Source organism: Homo sapiens, chromosome 10 (assembly GCF_000001405.40).
Source record: "Homo sapiens chromosome 10, GRCh38.p14 Primary Assembly".
Classification (NCBI taxonomy): Eukaryota; Metazoa; Chordata; class Mammalia; order Primates; family Hominidae; genus Homo; species Homo sapiens.
The window spans coordinates 60,723,758-60,742,417 of NC_000010.11; the positions used below are offsets into that span (position 1 = coordinate 60,723,758).

The following is an 18,660-nucleotide window of genomic DNA, read 5'->3' on the forward strand; positions in this document are numbered from 1 at the left end:
AGCCATTTTCTATAACTATCATCTCAGAATTACAAACAGTGAGTAGAAAGGGAAGATAAATTGAAAAGCAATCTGATGATGTGATGACTAAAGCTGGGATCTAAGTGATGTGAGGTCAAGAGCCAGGAAACACAGGCAGCCTCTAGCAGTGGAATAAGGTAAAGAAATGGAGGCTGGGCGCGGTGGCTCACGCCTGTAATCCCAGCACTTTGGGAGGCCGAGGCGGGCTGATCACGAGGTCAGGAAATCGAGACCATCCTGGCTAACACGGTGAAACCCCGTCTCTACTAAAAATACAAAAAATTAGCCAGGTGTGGTGGCGGGCGCCTGTAGTCCCAGCTACTCGGGAGGCTGAGGCAGGAAAATGGCGTGAACCCGGGAGGCGGAGCTTGCAGTGAGCCGAGATCGCGCCACTGCACTCCAGCCTGGGCGACAGAGCAAGACTCCGTCTCAAAAAAAAAAAAAAAAAAAAAAAGAAATGGATTCTCCTCTAGCGCCCCCAGAAGGAACATAGCCCTGCTGATCTACGGTGGACTTTTGGCCTCCAGAACTGTACCTAGTAAATCTGTATTGTTTTTAGTCCCCTCTACTACAAAAAGGTGATCTATTATACTTCAAAGTTAACTTGGAAAACAAGTATTACAATAGAATGTGATATATTTGCCCTCTTCCCCCCAAAATTTACATATCGATATCCTTTAAGGATAGTATACACATAGCAAACTATTTTTAGATACAATAGGATACTGAGCACCTTCTAAATCCATGAAGTATGATAAAGATACAATACTTTAAGTATCACTTTAGAATTAAATATTTAGCATATTACATTCTAATTCTGTAAAAACTGGTAGTACTATATGGCACATCAGTCTCTATTATCCAAAACGCAAAATTAACAAGGAACTTAATTTTTAAATTCACACTAAATCAAGTGTACTGTCTTGTAAACATTTTAAAAAGAAAAAGATATTCCTCTGAAATTTCACTTGAAACTTTAGAAAACCAATCCAAATTTTATTTCACTTGGAACATCCATTCCATATAATGATAATGTGAGGATCTCTTTGGTTAAGCCTTGTGGTAACAGAGTTAATCACAATAAAAGGAACTCAAACAGTATCAAATAACAACGTGTTGTCTAGTTTTGTTTAACTTCACCATCCAGAGGGTTGAGTTAACTATACTTCCCGGTTCATGGCACATTATCATTATTTTCTTTCTTTATTCCTTTTCATCTCCATAGCCCACTCCCATGCTCTGGATCCCACGCAGGCAGCCATTCTAACGTGTTTAAGGAGTATCTTTATGTAAGATGTACTTTATGTAAGTACTCTTACAAAATGTGCACTGTGCTGGGCTAATGAATTTTAAACTCACATAAAGGATTTAATGTTTATGTACTTCACACTCTTATCTTTTCACCAAGCACTATATTCTTAAAATCTATTTGAATTCCTTATGTTTATCTAATCCTTTGCTTCTACAGCTACAGACAACTCCATGACGTGCACCCGCCATTTTTCCTCTCCCCCAAGCAATGCTCACTCAGTTACCTCCCATTCCCCTCCACCACTAATAACAGAAGTAAACAACCTTGGACATGTCCTCTTGGGGACCTCTGGTACACATTCCTGTGTCCACCTGTAGGAACGGAATTGCTGGGTCACAGAGTAGATAACTAGTCAATTTGCTTAAGTAATGCCAGATTGCTTCCCAGAACAGCAGCCCCCATCTGTGCTTCCACCAGCACACGCAAGGCTTCCTATTTATTCCCTCCTTCCCTCATTTGGCTTTGCTATTATACTTCTTAGCTCCCTAAGAACCAGGAATAAGTCTACCTCAGAACCTTGCTTTTCTTTTCTTTTCAATAAAATGAGACTCTCTACTTCAACTACCTGATATGGTTGTTGTGAGACATGAATACAAAGAAATAACATGAGAGTACTTTTTAAAATATATAAATAGCTGCTTACAAAGGTAAGCAATTAGTGTTATTTTTGTTCTTATAATGAAAGTTTCTAACTATTGTCCCCCCATCCCAGCCCCAAAAAGAAAGGAGATAAGTGAATGAGCCTAAAGCTTGGAAAATGAAATTTTCCGAAACATAGGGAAACTGAAACAGAATGGGGAAAGTAATTTTTCTTGTTTACTCATCTATGCATTTATTTCATCAAATATTTTATTAAGAACTATGTACCTGGCCCTCTACTAGTCCTAAAATATAAAAAATTGTACAGCAAATATGCACAAAGTTCACATCCAAGTTTTCCATGTATGCCTTGAATTTTGTAATTACTTCAACAATGTAATTACTTCAACGATGATAGCTTCTGGTATCACAGAAGAACAGCTCCTATTTATTGATCATCTACTATATCAGCACATCACATAGCTTCTCTCAGATACTTAGAACAATCCCACAAGGTGGATGTGATTACTTTAATCCTTCATATAAAAAAAAACAGACACAGTTAGGTGATTTGCCAAGTCAAGCAATTAAATTGTACAGCCAGAAAACCCCAGCTCATTAAAGTCCAGGTTTCTCCTTTCCACTCCATCTAATTTCTGCCTAAAACATAGGTTCAAAGTTATTTGTAGCAGTGTCAGACATAAGGATATGAACAAAATGTCATAGAAAGTACAAAAGTGGACACAAGGTTCAACAGTAAACACTACCATTTATTTATTTAATATTCATCATGTACCAAGTGCTCTATGTGCATTAGTTATAATCCTTATACAAATATTGTAAAGGAGCTGCTTCATCTCCATTTTAAAGATGTGGAAGCTGAGATTCAGTTTACCAAGGTCATGCAGTTGCTACACCAGTAAAATCCAGACTAAAACATAGCTCTTCCTAACTCTAAAACCATGGTTTTGTTTTTGTTTTTTTCTTCTTTGCTGTAAATGGGTACTTCCTATTTGAGAGTGATAGAAATTTTCTAAAATTAGTTTGTGGTGGTGGTTGTACAACTCTGTAAATAAACAAAATTCACTGAATTGAGCGCTTTAGATGGGTGAATTCTATGGTATATAAATTATATCACAATAAAGCTGTTTTTAAAAACTTGTTTTCCTTCTGTAACTATATTTTCTTTTACAAGCTTGTAAAGTCTTATTTAACATCAACGTCTTTTTTCAATCAATATTCACATTTCATCAATAGTTACAATTGCATTTAAAAAATTCTCAGATTAAGTAAATACCAAAGGAACAATTTCCCCAATGGATTTTCCTCTACCCTACCATTCTGATCTAAAATCTTTCATTCCCTAGAGATGTGAGGTAAGACATGAATATTTTCTTACAGAGTTAAGTACATACTAACCTTAGATCCTACAATTTCAGTCTTAAGCACTTACATACCCCCGCCCCAAGCAAAAGAAAGGGAAAGGATTTTTGTACAAATATATTCTTGGCATCTTTATTTGTCACAGTCAAAAGTTGAAAACAACTCAAATGTCTGGTGAATGGACAAACTGTGGCATGTTAATGCAATGAAATACTACTTAGCAATAAAAAGGAATAATCTACTAATACCTAAAACAACATGGATTAATATCAAAAACATTATGCTCAGAGAAAGAAGCTAGACACAAAAATGTATACATAGGCAAAACTCATCTATAGTGAAAGAGATCAGACTGGCAGTCTCCTGGAGGGTTGGGAGTTTAACTGGAAAAGAACTCAAGTAAACTTCTCAGTTTGGCAAAAATATTCTATTGTGATAGGGTTTGATAACTGTCAAAATTCAACAAATTGTACACTTAAATGTAGTGAGTTTTATTGTATGTGAATTATACCTCAATAAAGGTGATAATTAGACATGTACACATACCAACACATACACAAGCAAAACAAGAATCTATTATGCTTAACTTGACATCCTTAGAAACAGGGTCTTAAAAATCATAATCCATCATCCTAACATCAAATAAGCCAGTTACAGACCTCAGTTCTCTCATATCTAATCTAGGTATTTAAGGATCTACTTGGCATTTATTTTGTTCTCAGTGGAAAAAGAGAGACCTAATCAACTATTCTCAGTGTAAGAGCCCTTTCCCTACTTAAAAGTTCATTGAAACAGTCTGCTAAACTATGACATTTTGAAAAGTAAGAACTAGTTATTTATCTGTGCTTCCCCATGTGTGCCTGATACCTGGTGTCACATAAGTTTGAAAAAAAATAAACCGTTCATCCAACTAAAAATGAAATCTGTGCATCTCACTGTACGTAAGTGGTGTGCTTACCAATTCTGTGCTTCTCTTTCCAACTCCATGTTCATCGCCTCTTGGTAACTTGAAATCAGCCATAGTAAAGGTAGGAATCAGCAAATGCTACAAATCAGGGCTTTTTTTCTTTTAGGGACATTTTACCAGCCTACCACTGATAATATCTCAACTTTTTAAAAAAAGAAAGAAAACCTCAAGGACCCACAGAGGCCAAGCAGTTATTCTCAATTGTTCTCCACCTACTACGGGAAATGTTTCCGTTCTTCTACACCCAAGTCCTTGTTTTTTGGTGAGTGTTCAATTACCAGCCGAAACTCACTGACATGTCATCTTACCACTTCCTGTTGGAACTAACAAATGTTTGTTGTCTAAGATGCCATCAATCGTAGGGAGCACAATTGCTTTAAAATAAGATTTTCTGAGAAAACGAAATCATTTTTTTAAAAACAATAAATGTAAAAGTTCCCAACATTTGGAAAATTATTCTAACATTAGGAATTCCAATGTGAGGGAAAAAGTGTTTCCTAGAAACAAGGAAATGTATCACTTATTACTAATTGTCTATAACTCTTTCAGCATTTAAATTTTTTTAAATCGTAGACTGTTATAGTTGGAATAAACCTTAGAAATACTTTTTTCCAACCCTCTCCTTCGTCTAGTGAAGAAATGGAAGCTCAGGAAGTGATACATTTCTGAGGTTACAGAACTAGTTAGTTGGAGAACGGGGACTTCATTCCTTGACTCTTGGTTTTACTACCATTGGTCTCTCCATCAGTTACCAGACAAAGGTTCCAATCCAATTTCAGGTTACCAAATTACAGCTTGTATAGTCTTCCTGAAGGTCAATTTCATCATGTATAAAATGCCAGGGGTGGTGGGTAACAATACTTACCCTCTAGTTTATTGTGAAGTACATAGTATCTACTGTGAGAGGCATAATAAATCATGGTTGTTATTATTACTAGACAATGCAGTTGTATTTTCAAGATGCATATGTCTTCTCTATCTTGGATTATATACTTCTTTTTACTTAACAGTAAACCCCATGCTTTCACTGTGTACCTAAGAGTGCCTTTTACAAGATAGGAGCTCAAAAGTACGTGTTGTTTAAATAATGGAAGCTGTTACTAAATCTGAATGTCAGGTCCTTATCATTTTTAGATTCTTAACTTAACAAACATTAATTGGAGTTAATGTGTATCAAGCCCTATGTTTGATGCTAATGAGCAACACTGCAGTCACATAGCTGCTTTTTGCCAGATTCCCTATAAAGCATCATGACATGAAAAAAGTGGGGAAAGAGAAGCCCTACACTTGTAGAGCATATCCTCAGCATGAAGCCTTGACATCCCCCAGAGAAGTAGCACAGCCCAGAAATGAAGCTAGATGACATAATAGCTACCAATAAATCACCATAGTTATCTTCAAAACACATAGGAAAATAGCCTTTCCAGTTTAGCAACACATAGTTCTTAATTCAACAATGGCATTCAAATTAACTTCAGTTCTGGCATTCAAATTAACTTCCCCTATCAAGCCAGGTCCAAAATATATGTTAGGGCCAATTTTTCATTACTTCCCTTCTCTTAACATCATCTGAAAATGACAGCGCCAAAGCATCATCTGATCAAAAAACACCACAATAATTTATTTCATATTTTAAAGCTCTAACTCCAAACACTAGATCATTTAGCCTCAGGTTATTAATATACATCAAATACTAGAAGCAGTTTGTTCTAGGAAAAATACTACCATCTACTCAGAACTGAAAACACATAACTTTCATCTGATTGCTTTCTTCTTGTCCATCACACCACATGACACTTGGTAATTAATCCATATAAGACCTTCCTAAGAGAGAAAATTCAGGAGTAATTTCCATAAAACTTCAACAAATTACTTCTATTTTGGTACCACTGATCTCACTCTCATAGTCAAACAGGAATCTGATCAACTCCTGGAAAAATCTATGTCCTTTTGAATGGACAAACCCTTTGGATGATTTTGTTTGTCCACCTTCAAACATGCTGAGACAAGTGTCTGGGATATATTTCAACCATGCATGTAGATTTTGGAAATGTTACCACATTTTTTAGAGTCTAATCAGGAAAAAAGATGCATGGTCCTCAAATAAATACTGTACTTAATGCTAAAAGATTTTTGTTTTTGAGACAGGGTCTCACTCCACTGCACTCCACCCTGTCACCCAGGCTGGAGTGCAGTGGCATGAGTATCACTTACTGTGGCCTCAACCTCCCAGGCCCAAGTGATCCTCCCACCTCAGCCTCCAGAATAGCTGGGACTACAGGCACTTGCCCCCATGCCCTACTAATTTTTTCATTTTCTGTAGACACAGGGTCTCGCTATATTACCAGGGCTGGTCTCGAACTCCTGGGCTCAAGTGATCCTCGCATCTCGGCCTCCCAAAGTTCTGGGATTATAGGCATAAACCACCATGCCTGCTCTAATAGAACTTTCAAATTATAACTAATAACAGCTGATCTTTTAATACTTAAAACACATGTCTAGGAGAAAGTAGACTATATTAAAACAGCTTTTAAAATTGTATCATGGATAGAAGGCAAATGAAAAATTTTAAGCTATTTTCACATGTCGACAAAGGATGAAAATAAAAAATTGCAATTAAATGGCCCTATTGTTCCAAGTACCTTAACATTAACCCAGCATCTGACTGGCATTCACATTTGCAAGATCCAAGGATATAGTTATGTGAACAACAGCCCAGTCAATACATACAGGGAAAAGTTACTTCAGATCTGATTAGATCTTTAGTAACCTTGATCTTTCTAGAAGTATAAACTTTAATAATGTGAGTTTGGGGAAGCTGTATCAAGGCTAAACATTCCAATTAAAATTCATTATGTGTTCTAACTCAGAATCAATCTTGTGTAAAAGTGTCAGATAGTTGGACTTGTCAGTTTCAGGTATTTACTTCATTCAAAAAGGTAAAAATGCCATTTACCTAGGCTAGAATTTTATATAATCTCCAATTTGGATTATACAGATTCCCTATAATTACAATAACACATCCGACAAAAATATACAGACATTTTGTGCATAAAAATGAATAACTTTAAATAAAGAAGTAATTAATTGGAGATTAACCTGGGGAAAACTGCTGAGAGTCCATAACAATTATATTCTTCTCAGTTATCAACATATTATTCTAGAGTTAGGCACACTTATTTCTTTAAACTCATGAACACTGTAAAAAGAAAAAAAAATTAAGTACTGAAAAAAAGAAAACCACAGATATACATACACTAATATAAACACCACCACAAAAATGCAAACAGATTCAGAATCCACACTGTTTCCTTGGATTCCAAAACACACCATTGGCCTTTACATTGTCTGAAGGATCTTGAGCTACAATATCTGCTATGGAGTGTAACACATCACTGTGAGATTATGAAACATATTTATTTATGTCTTAACAAAAAGAACACTGAGAACCATCATAAATAACAATCTAACTACAGTCCAAATTCAAAGCTCACTTATTTATCCTCCACTGATTTGAGAACTAAGAGAAGTTGGCCCTCCAGATATTAGTAGCTGATTTGGAGATATTCAAAGGATTGTTTTGCTTCAGTCAATTTTTGTTTCAGAACTGTGGTTTTAACTTTACATTCACTTTCATTACAGAAATTTGCTTCCTTAAACACGCACCGGTTTGAGCCCAGGTCAGCAGATGACAAGGCTGCCTGAACTGCTAAAGCAGCAATCTGTGTCCAATCTGAGACTGCCTCCCTATAAAGCCTACCTGCCCTGACCTACCCTCCTGGAATGAAGTCCCATGTAACCCCAGGATGACTCTTCTATGCTTTTACGAATAAGAGAAAGTGACCTCTTCCAAAATTAGACAACCCACACTCTCAAGCAAGCAAAATCAAAATCAGAATCTAGGTAGCAATCAAAACCACCAATTGACTTGGTTGAAACTTCAGAGTCTTCTTTTGAAGACTTCTCATTGATTCCCTGAGGATTTTTAGAGACGACAACTAAAGGAAAAACATGGCATGGGCAAGATTTGTGTTTCAAGGGCAATTCTACATAACTTAAAACTAGGTGAACTGTTGTTTTCAAGACGATTCAAATGTGCCTCATTTTTAAAACATGTAGTATTTATTCTTCTGCGAAAATAGTTAATGCAAGCCCACGATTTAAAAAAAAAACCAAAAGTCCTAAAAGGTATGTGAAAGGTAAGGGTAAGTCTCCCTCCTCACCCTCTCATTTGTCTCCCCAATCCCCCTTCCCGGGACGACTACTGTTTCTCAGGAACCTTTCCCTAGCCATTCTATGCAAATGCAAACATAAGCGAGTGTTTTAAACCAATTATGCCACATTATACACACCGTGGCAGCACCAAAATTGCTATTAAACGCCTCCGGGCGTAAAGGTGGCAATCTGCTGAGGGGTGTGGGGTGGGAAGAAGGAGACTATCTTGATGCAGCGGTTTTGCTCGTCAGGCAACCGATTTCTACTTCTTGTTTTTGTTTGCATGCCTTTACAAGGCTCTCGGAGATCGGAGATCGAAGAGAAGGTAAATCCACCAAAGCCACCCCCTGGCACTGCCACGATAGCCACCCTGCTCTGCACGTTTCTGTCTCAATCTATGAAGTATGTTCTATACTTTCATGGAGTTAAATCGACTCACTTTCAAAAAAGAAAACAAAACAAAACAAACAACAACAAAAAAACGCCTAACTCTGAAGGTAACTTTCAGAGTCTGAAGGTAACTTTCAGAGCCAGGTGATTTCCGAACCAGGTGATTTCCTCCCCGCCAAACGTGCAGCCTCTGCAGCCTGCTTCAGTCGTGTCCTTAGGAAAGGTTCAGCCTGGCACGGAGTTGGAGGGGCGAGCCAAGAGCAGAGAAGCCCCAAGACGAGAGACCGAGGTGAGGGCGTCCTGAGCCCGGGGCCCGCTTTTCTTTTTCCAGACGAATGTTTCCAAGCAGAAGCCCCAAGTCCTCGGGCCCCCCTCTCTCCTGGGGATGCTCCAGCACTGGGACCGAGTTCGAGCTCTCGCCTCTGTCCCGGGCCGCAACTTCCAGGCGCAACTGGACTCCCACGATCCGCAGGAACCGGGTCCCCTCCACTCGCCCTCCCGGAGCCTCGCGGCGCCGCCTGGCACCCCCAGGAGGGCAGGACTCCTGGGGCCCCCCGGCCCGGGCCTCCCGCCCGCCCGGGTCCCCGCATGCCCCTGGGTGAAGGCAGCCGCAGGTAGGGGGGCGGCGCGGCGCTCACCTGGGCAGGAGCGGAGTCCTCGGTGCCCGCGGGAGAGGAGGAGGCGGAGGAGGCCATGTTGTGGGGCTGCTGCTGCTGCTCCTTCCAGGAACTCCAGTCTCTCCTCCCCGTCCCGCTCCTCGGGCCTCCAAACGTGGGACTTCTTGGGAAAAAGTTCGGCCGCGGCTCAGGAACACCAAGCGCGGCCCCGCGACGCCCGCCCAGCGCGGCCTATCCTCCTCCTGCTGTGTCCGCTGCGACCGCCAGGTGCCCGCGCGGGCCGGTGCGCCGGGGGCGGGCCCGGCTCAGGTAAAGGCGCGGCTGGGCCGGAGGCCGAGGCTGCGCTGCACCCAGCTCCCGGCGATCACATCCAGTCGGCCAGGGCCCAGGGGCCAGGGTAAGAGGAAGACGGCCTTAGGGTGACTAGGAGCAGCAGAGGCAGCTCCAGGAAGAGAGGGAGGGCGAGTCCTCTTTCCTCCGGGCTGCTGAATAGAGTTTCATTAGCCATCCCCATAATAATAATAATAATAAAATAACATGGCTTAAGGGAATAAAATCATCTTTAGGCAATTTTGTTTTTGCATTTTTATTATTATTAATCTGTAGCATGCGATCTATGTAAAAGCAATGTTTCCCAGGCAGATAGCTTCCGAGCAATGCCCCCAGCCTCCCTTCCACCCCGCCGAGGTCCTGGCAGCACTCAGATTGCTTCAGCTACGTGCCCAATGAAAATATTAAACTCTGGAGCTGTCCGGGGTGGGAGGGAGGCACTGAGCCTGGTCCAGCAACAGAATGGGGAGCAGGGGACCTCTGAGCGTCCTTGTTTCTAGGAGCTCATATGATAAGGGTTTTGCTGCACTCCTGTCCTGGACAAGGCCGGCGGGATAGGTGGATATCAGGCCACTGCCCCCACAGAATTTACTATTCTACTTGGTGTGGGGCGAGGGGAGAAATTGCCCTCACGTCATGTCTCCTAAAGGGAGGACATCTCACTTGGAGTCACGGAAGATAGGTCTAGTCGGTGCACCGAGCAGGGCCAGGGCATTAAATGACTGTGAATCACATAGTAAGAAATGGATTCCTTTTTGCATTCTCTTTCAGTTCTTCTGTATACAAGGAGAAAGTATTCTCTCTCAAACAGTAAACTCCCTTTTATCACAGAGCAGGCTCCAGGCTCAAAGCCCTAGGTAAGCACTGGTATCTAACTGGAATTTATAACATTGTTTCATTTTCATTGTTTAGTTCCATTGTTTATTGTTACTGTTATTTTCTATTTAAGGCAAGTGAAAGTGGGTTTTCTATTTAAGGTAGGGATCCAGAAGTTCTTTCCTAGCAAATATATATGTTTAAAAAATATTTTAAAAGGGTAATTGTCCAGGTGGGACTGGGATAAGCAAAATTTCAAAAGGTAGGCAGGGAATGACTAAAGTATGGGAAACATACTTTTACCAACAAGTAACAACTAAATACTGGAATGACTTTATTACCAGAGAACACTGCAGTGAGTTAGCTATGTCTCCCATCTAACACCTTGCTCATTTTCTCCGTAACACACATTAAACTGAAATAACATTTATTGGGCATTAGCTCTGTGTTGGACCCTGTGCTAAGCACTTTATTCATGTGGTCTCATTTAGTCTTCACAAAACCCTTGCAAGACAGGCAGCACAATCTGGAAACTGAGTGTCAGAAACATTATTTAGCCAAGGTCACACACTAATAGAGTAACAATAACTCTTTAGGCATTCTTAACATGAGCTTTATAAACCACTTCAGAATTTAGCAAGTCCATAAACCCCTTAAAATTTTATGTTAAATTCTGTGTGCTATTTCATAGGGAGAAAGCACATCATCTTCATCAACTTTTCAAAAGGATTTGTGTGTCCCCAGAAAGTTAAGAACCACTGTCATCATTATTTCCAAGGCTATCCTATGCCTTGGATTTTAAGGTCCGTTGGGGCAAAAGTCCTGTTTTCTTTTATCTCTCACTGTGCCTAGCCTAGTTCTCTATTCCCTCAGGCACTCATAGGAATTGGTTGCCCAAATTGAATGTGTGAAGCAGACAATAGAGACTACAAGGGCCAGGTGCTAGTGGCTTGGGAGACGCATCACCTTGGTAAAGCCTGCAGAGACACAGGTATTTTACAAGCCAACTCCCTGGCACCGATACAGCCACAGAGCCATCTTAAACAAGAGGCAAGCAGCCAGCCAGGTAGACAATAGAGGGAGAAAAAAACTCTACAGGAAGTTAGCACAAGGAGCAGCACCTGGGAGAGAAGCTCAGAAAGGGGTGCTTCCCTGCAGAGCTATTCCAGGCAAGTCTGTTGATCTGGCTGTCTGTTTCTGAGAAATACTTGTATTCCAGAGCATCAAAGACACTTCCCCTCCTCCAGAGGCATACTGCAACACAACTGAAAAGCTAACTGGAAGAAGTAACTGACAGTCTGGCAACATCTCTCCTACCTTTAAAGATTAAACCAAAAATCTTTCCATGCAGCCTAAGTTTGTCTCTAAGTTTGTCCTCCTCTCTGTTTCTCTTTTCACGGCCAAGTATCTTGAAGGGATAGTAGTTGACACTGCGGTCCCTTTTTTCTCACTTGCACACTACTTTATTTATAGTTATCAGGCTTCTGCCCTTCCTCAGCTACTGAAACTTCTCTTTTCAAGTTATGGTTGATCTCCTCTTTGCCACAGCCATGAAAGACTTTTCTAGACCATATCTAGGTTATTTTTTCAAGATCATTTGGTATGGCTGACTGTTATCTCCTCCTTAAACATCTTCTAGGATTTTGACCTCCGTCTGCCTTATTTCTCACATCATGCACTATCTCTTTGTGATCTCGTTCACATTAAGGCTTAGCTATCACATAATGACTCCCAAATCCAACTAAGACAATTTCCCTGAATCCCAAACCCAATTTCTTCTCATCCAAAAGGGAAAACATCATTTCTCCTTTCCTACCCCCAAGGACAGCAGAATCATGTACTACCAATGCTCCCTAGCCTAGCACCACCAAGCAAGCAAGACCTTGAAGTCAGGGGAGGAGACTCTGCCCCCCATCTCCCAATCCAATCAGATATTGAGCCCTTAAATGTCCCTTCTTATACATCTCCACTACATCCCTGCCTTTGATTCTCTAATGGCTATGACTTATTGAGCAATTACTATGTGTCAAACCATGCCAACTTGCATTTTCTCATCATCTCTTACCCGGACAACTTCAATATCCTCCTAATTTTGTGTAGTGTATCAGCTCTGTCCAATCTTATGATTTGTCTAAAATTTCAAATCTGTTCATATGTTTATACAATGGTAAATAACTACTTAGTAGCTCATTCTATCTTCACAATAAGGGTTAACTCAGCATGGGTCCTTGTCCTCTTCTTCCACTGGATCTCAGTTACTCTCCATCACCATTTCCATCTCCATTCCCTTCTCCCTCTACCTCAGGCAACACACACACACAGCCATTCTGAAATACTTGCAGTTCCCCACAAACACCAAGGCCATTGTCTTTCTACAAGCCATTTCTTCTGCCTAGAAAGCCCTTTTCCCCATCCTCCAGTTCTCTGTTTCACCCATCTTTTCTGCCTGGTTAACTCCTATTCATCCATCAAGACTCCTCTCAGAAAATACATCTTTGAGGAGGCCTGACTCTTTTTCTATTACAATGTAGTTTGTTGCCCTTTGTTCTGCCAAAACACCCTGCAGCATACCTCTAACAATTTTGAAGAATATGTTCCCAAACATTTTCTGCAATTCAGAAATCTAAACAATTACAAAAACTGGAAACCTAAACAGAATTGATATGAGGTTATTTATAGTTTTTATCCCATTTAGTGTGACTAGTTCTATGTCTTAACTATGAAGTACTTCCCCAGGCCCTTTTACTGGTATTATGTGATATATAGTGTGTATACCATATCACTATTCTAAAAATTCTGAATCGCAAACATATTTGCCTTCAGGGGTTTCAGATAAGGGTTATAGACCTATATAACCATTGCCTTCATTGCCTGTGTGCCATTTTAATCATGTGCTTCTTGATGCTTTGACTATCTTTTTCATGTCCAAATCACCATGACCTAATGCAGTGTCTGGCTCACTCAAAGTTTGCTGAATAAAGGGTGTAGTTATGAACTTGGACTGTATTTCGTAGAACTGATTCCTAAGGTTGAAACCTGACACCTCCCCTTGCTTCCCAATCGATTGTTCCTCCTTTAGGCTACTATACCTTGCATGCATGTCACATTTCTAACTGTAGAATAATTGTTTACACTTCTGTCTCTCCAGTGAGATTGAGCAGGTTAAGAAGAAAGATGATGATATATTTACTAATCTTTGCATTTCTGAGTTTGCGATGCCTAACACAACGTCAGGCACATTATACACGCTAGGAATCCATTCTGTTAAATGATAGAGGTTAGAAAGGAAGAAGGGAGAGAGAAAGAAAAGAAAGGAAATTTTTTTGTTGTTTGTTTGTTTAAGATGAAGTCTGGTGGAAGGTGAGTTAATCTCTAGAGAACTGTAACATTGGGTTCCAAACTCAGTCACTTCATAGCATTTGTCTTTTTTTTTTTTTTGTCACCCAGGCTGGAGTGCAGTGGTACAATCATAGCTCACTCAACTTCCTGAGTAGCTAAGACCACCAGCAATGAGACACCCCACTCAGCTAATTTTTTGATTTTTCATAAAGACAGGGTCTCACTATGTTGCCCAAGCTGGTCTCAAATTCCTGGGCTCAAGCAACCCTTTGGCCTAGGCCTCCCACAGGGTTAGGAATTACAGGCGTGAGCCACCAGACCCTGTAGTTTGTCACATTCTTGCACCACCTTTGTTACTTAATGTTTTTATTTACATTAATTTACTTTTTATCTAAGCACATATTTTAACCCTTATCCCATTTTATTAAAGGGAAGCTGAGGTACAAGGAAATATAGCCACTGAGTCAGGGTCACACAGACCATGACTGGCCAATTAGAGCCACCAGATTTCTGTCTGTAGTCATAGATCTTCCTTCCTAGGCATCCACTGTTTGAAGCTGGAGATTCTGGTCTGTTCCTCATGATGACACTGTGGTCATACGGTTAGGTCCCTCAAATGGTGCGATGCATAAGCCTCTGGTGTTTCAGTTAGACTCCCCCCAATTTGGACAAATTTGGTCAAACTCTAGTCGTGTTTCTTGTAGTGGATAAATGATCAGAGCCTCCCCAACAGTCCCAGGCTGGCTGACCATGGACAACAGGACTCTCACTTTACTTGGTATCATAAGGAATGACATAGTACCTCACATTTACTAGTTTGTTATAAAGGATATTACAAAGAATACAAATGTAGAGATGCATAGGGCAAGGTATGGGGGAAGGGGTGTAGAGCTTCCATGCCTTCCCTGAGGGACCACTCTCCAGAAACCTCCGCGTGTTCCGCTATCTGGAAACTCTAAACACATTTATCTTTAAAAGAAACTTTCTCTTAGTACCTTAGGAAAAATCACTTCCACTTACACTAAACACACAGGATGAAAACATTATTATACATTTCTTGTTTTATTCTGTATTCTGTCTCAACCCCTCTCTGTTAGAAAGAAAACTTAGCAAGCACTAAAGGGGCATGAAAACCAGAACTGGATGCAAACTTTCTCCTTGAAATTATCAGGAGGGAAAGAGAAGCAAAAAAGTAATCACGTATTATGTGATTCAATATTATTTAATCCCCTGTCCTTAAGCCACCTACTGTTATCAAGAACCATCAGTAGAAACGGGATTGAACTTTTCTCTCTCTCCCTCACTCAGCTTCTGAATTTATGACATTTCCCCATAGCTACACAGAGACACTATTCCTTCCAGAGTAGTTTCTACTATAATTAGACACTAACAGTTATGTTTAAACAGCAGAATTTTTTTACCTGACCATTAGCAAGAGAGAAAAGCTGGTTTTTTACGTAGTATCTGTGAAATCTCCAAGAAACAAGGAAACAAGAGTCAATACAGAAAGTTTTAGCCTGTGAGAAATTTTGTGTAAAGTTCAAGAGATGATGTTTAATGAATGTGTGTTTCTTTCACAAAAGTAGTAATAGAAAACATTTCTCAAAGAGATATATATTTGTTTACCACAAGCCGTGGGGAGTATGATGGTATGTAGAAATATGTCCCTTAATTTGTGACTTTAATGAAGGAAAACAGCTCACCAAGCGCAAAGTTGAATCAAAATGTTTTCTCTCCTGTGGCTTTTGGCCTTTCCCCTCCAGTATGGTCTCAACTGGGTAGAAACTCATATTTTTAAATACACAATAAATATCATGGCTTAGCAATCTTTTTATCAAAATCAAGTGGAATGAGAGTATAATGTTTATTTATCAAGTTAGTTTTGCAATCCCATGTAGAATATGGTTAAGTAACTTATTTTAGTGTCTATTTCCATTTCTTAATCCTTTAAGTTTTTCTAAAACATTTGAAAGGAAATAGAGATTATCTGATATATGCTGTAAAATGACAAACATTGTCTGACTCAACATATTTGAGATAACCAATTGTTGATTTTAAAAATCCAGTCCCAAAGTAGCTTATGAAATAGGATAAGAAACTTCATATTAGAGTTACAGAAGACAAAATAATCAGTGTGATTCATTCTACTTTATCTCCACATTTTGACTGGAACTTTTCATCACTTCTTTTTATTCACTTTGGTCTGGGATTTCAAAAACATTTAAAGTGATGGCAATATGTATAATGGTAATATCAATCTTTAAAAATACACATAAAAAGTTAACATAAAGGAAAACTAACTGATTAGTGACAGAAAATAAACTGGTAACTTTTAGCCACTTATAAATAAGAAAAAGCAAACTTTGTTACCTTTGCCTGAATTCCCAGTGAATTGAACTGTGTTGGTTCTAGTTGCGCGTGTTTGGGAAAGAAAAGGAAAGAGAAACTTTATTTTGTTCATTGGCATGGCATCTAGGATGCAGGGGAAGAGGAATAAAAAAAGTGACACCTTCAGAACAGAATTTGGGGGAATAAAGAGGGCCAGACTTTCAATTAAAATATTTTCATCTGGCCAGGTGCTCTATCTCACAGCTGTAATCCCAGCATTTTGGGAGGCTGAGGCAGGTGGATCATTTGAGCCTAAGAGTTTGAGACCAGCCTGGGCAAAACACCATCTCTACAAAGAAAAAAAAAAAAAGAATTAAAAATTAGTCGGGCATGATGGTGCATGCCTGTGGTCCCAGCTATTTCCAAGGCCGAGGCAGGAGTATAGCTTGACCCCCGGAGGTGGAGGCTGCAGTGAACTGTGATTGTGCCACTGCACTCCTGCCTGGGCGACAGCCAGACCCTGTCTCAAAAAATAAAATTTCATTTTTATTTCTTCCCACATAACTCCTGTTAGTCCTTTCTCGTTTCACCCTTTATTCTCCCCCATTCTGATTCTAAACCAGAATCAGCCTCTCTCAATTCATACATGTTTTCATCTTATTTCTGAACAAAGGGAAAAAATAATCTGGAAGGTACTTGATCTACTCCATGCATGCTTTGATTCTAGTGCCTACGGAATTGCCTGCTTTAGCCTTTGTATTTTGTAAAACTGTTTCTAATGGCCTTGTATGGAACTTCTTCACCTAGGAATTCTAATCATATACTACTTACATGATATGAGTCTTGAACTTCAAATCTGGATTTTTCTATTTAAACCAGAAAGTAAATAAATGTAATAAAAATAGAAACATACCAACACAACTCCCCAAAACTATGTGCAGCAACTCTGGCTACACTCTCAGAGAGACCCCAACATTTTTGGTTACTTGGACATCCTGTAACTGATCATTTTATTTTGCCACACGCTTCCCCTAGCACACTCTTTCAAGTACAGTATATAGCTTGCTTAAATTTCACATTGAAAGTTTTGGAAAGCCATATGAAATTATTCCAGATAGCTGCAGGTTGCTAATAAAACCATAGTTAGGGATCACCAACTTAGTAAAAATTGAAACTAGAGAAACAGTCTTCATAATCTTTAGCCGAGGCAGTCCCTTCTTTCCATATTATCATCACTTTCTGTTCAAAGCACATACTTTTCATGCTTCTGTGTATAGTTAAACATGTTTCTATACTCCGAAAAGTTGTCATATCCCAGAGCCATTCACATCATAATTACAGTAGAGTTGAACATTTATATTAAAATTGTTCGCAGATGGCAATTAAGGTACTAGAAAAATTAATCTTTTTTGGAATGTTTCTTACAGATGGAGATAAAGTATTTTGAGGAGGGAGGAGAGTGTATTTCTTCATTTACACAAAGATACTCATATGGAGCTGGGGGCAGTTCTTCCCCAAAAGGAAACATTGAACTCAAAGTTCCATGTAAGCAAGGACTGTGGCTGTCATGTCTACCATTGTATATCCCAGCACCTAGCACTGGACCTAGTATAAATTTTGTGCTAAATTAATATTTATTGACTGCATGGATGAACTCTCTATTTTATTTATGGTTCTTCCAATTTATTGCTATCTGTTTTCCATTACTTGCCTTCTCTTACCCTGAAATTATGCATCTGGAATGAAGTATTTTAATAAAATTATTGATGAACATAATGGAAATATGGGGCATTATATAAATATTACATACTATTGGTTGATTTGTGTGATGATGACATTTGAAGTTTATTTCAGATGCTTCCTTTTATTAATCATGTCTTTACAGCCGGGGTCTTCTCTTTGGCAGAGCACTTACAAAATATAGTGCATGACACACCACTAATGTTTCTCTGAATTATCTGCCTCCTTCTTGTACAGATACATCTCATCTCTCTTACATTCCTTCTACCCTCTACTGTTCATTACAATCTAGATCAGGGATCAGTAAACTTTTTATTTTGAGGGCCAGATTGTACATATTTTAGGCTTTGCAGGCCATTAGAGTTTCTGTTGCAACTATTCAACTTTGCTATTGTAATGTGAAGGTGGCCATAACTAACAAACAAACATGGCTGTATTCCAGTAAAATTGACCCACACAAACAGGTGAATGGGGCATAGTTTGCTGACTACTGATCCAGATTGCTAGCACACTATCCTTTCATTTTCTAAAATATCACCATGTACTTAGTATATGCTGGGGATTATCACACTTAGTCCCCAGAACAAATTTCCAAGAGGACATGATTATACCCTTTTTATAGG

The 18,660-nt window shown here is 39.5% G+C and overlaps 1 protein-coding gene and 1 long non-coding RNA gene across 2 annotated transcripts in view, besides 3 other annotated features; one reads left to right on the top strand and one right to left on the bottom strand.

Moving 5' to 3' along the window:
• Window positions 1-9,771, bottom strand: part of ANK3 (ankyrin 3) — a 707,231-nt gene extending 697,460 nt beyond the window's left edge. The window contains exon 1 of the mRNA NM_001204403.2: window positions 9,506-9,771. Within this exon, the coding sequence (NP_001191332.1) occupies window positions 9,506-9,562 (57 nt within the window). The 5' untranslated portion in view covers window positions 9,563-9,771. The remainder of the gene's footprint in view (window positions 1-9,505) is intronic.
• Window positions 9,736-9,865: a silencer, noted in NCBI's record as "silent region_2389". NCBI's record gives its function as "represses an Ori minimal core promoter by ATAC-STARR-seq in GM12878 lymphoblastoid cells {active_cell/tissue: GM12878}" and the evidence as "EXISTENCE:reporter gene assay evidence [ECO:0000049][PMID:35858748]".
• ANK3-DT (ANK3 divergent transcript) lies at window positions 9,796-18,079 on the top strand. The gene is made up of 3 exons (NR_184155.1): window positions 9,796-9,881; window positions 10,586-10,671; window positions 17,725-18,079. It is a non-coding gene; the product is annotated as an ANK3 divergent transcript (long non-coding RNA).
• Window positions 12,385-12,885: an enhancer, noted in NCBI's record as "H3K4me1 hESC enhancer chr10:62495900-62496400 (GRCh37/hg19 assembly coordinates)". NCBI's record gives its function as "activates a minimal SCP1, AML or CMV promoter by ChIP-STARR-seq in primed H9 embryonic stem cells {active_cell/tissue: H9 hESC(primed)}" and the evidence as "EXISTENCE:reporter gene assay evidence [ECO:0000049][PMID:30033119]".
• Window positions 12,886-13,386: an enhancer, noted in NCBI's record as "H3K4me1 hESC enhancer chr10:62496401-62496901 (GRCh37/hg19 assembly coordinates)". NCBI's record gives its function as "activates a minimal SCP1, AML or CMV promoter by ChIP-STARR-seq in primed H9 embryonic stem cells {active_cell/tissue: H9 hESC(primed)}" and the evidence as "EXISTENCE:reporter gene assay evidence [ECO:0000049][PMID:30033119]".
• Window positions 18,080-18,660: the final 581 nt, after the last annotated feature.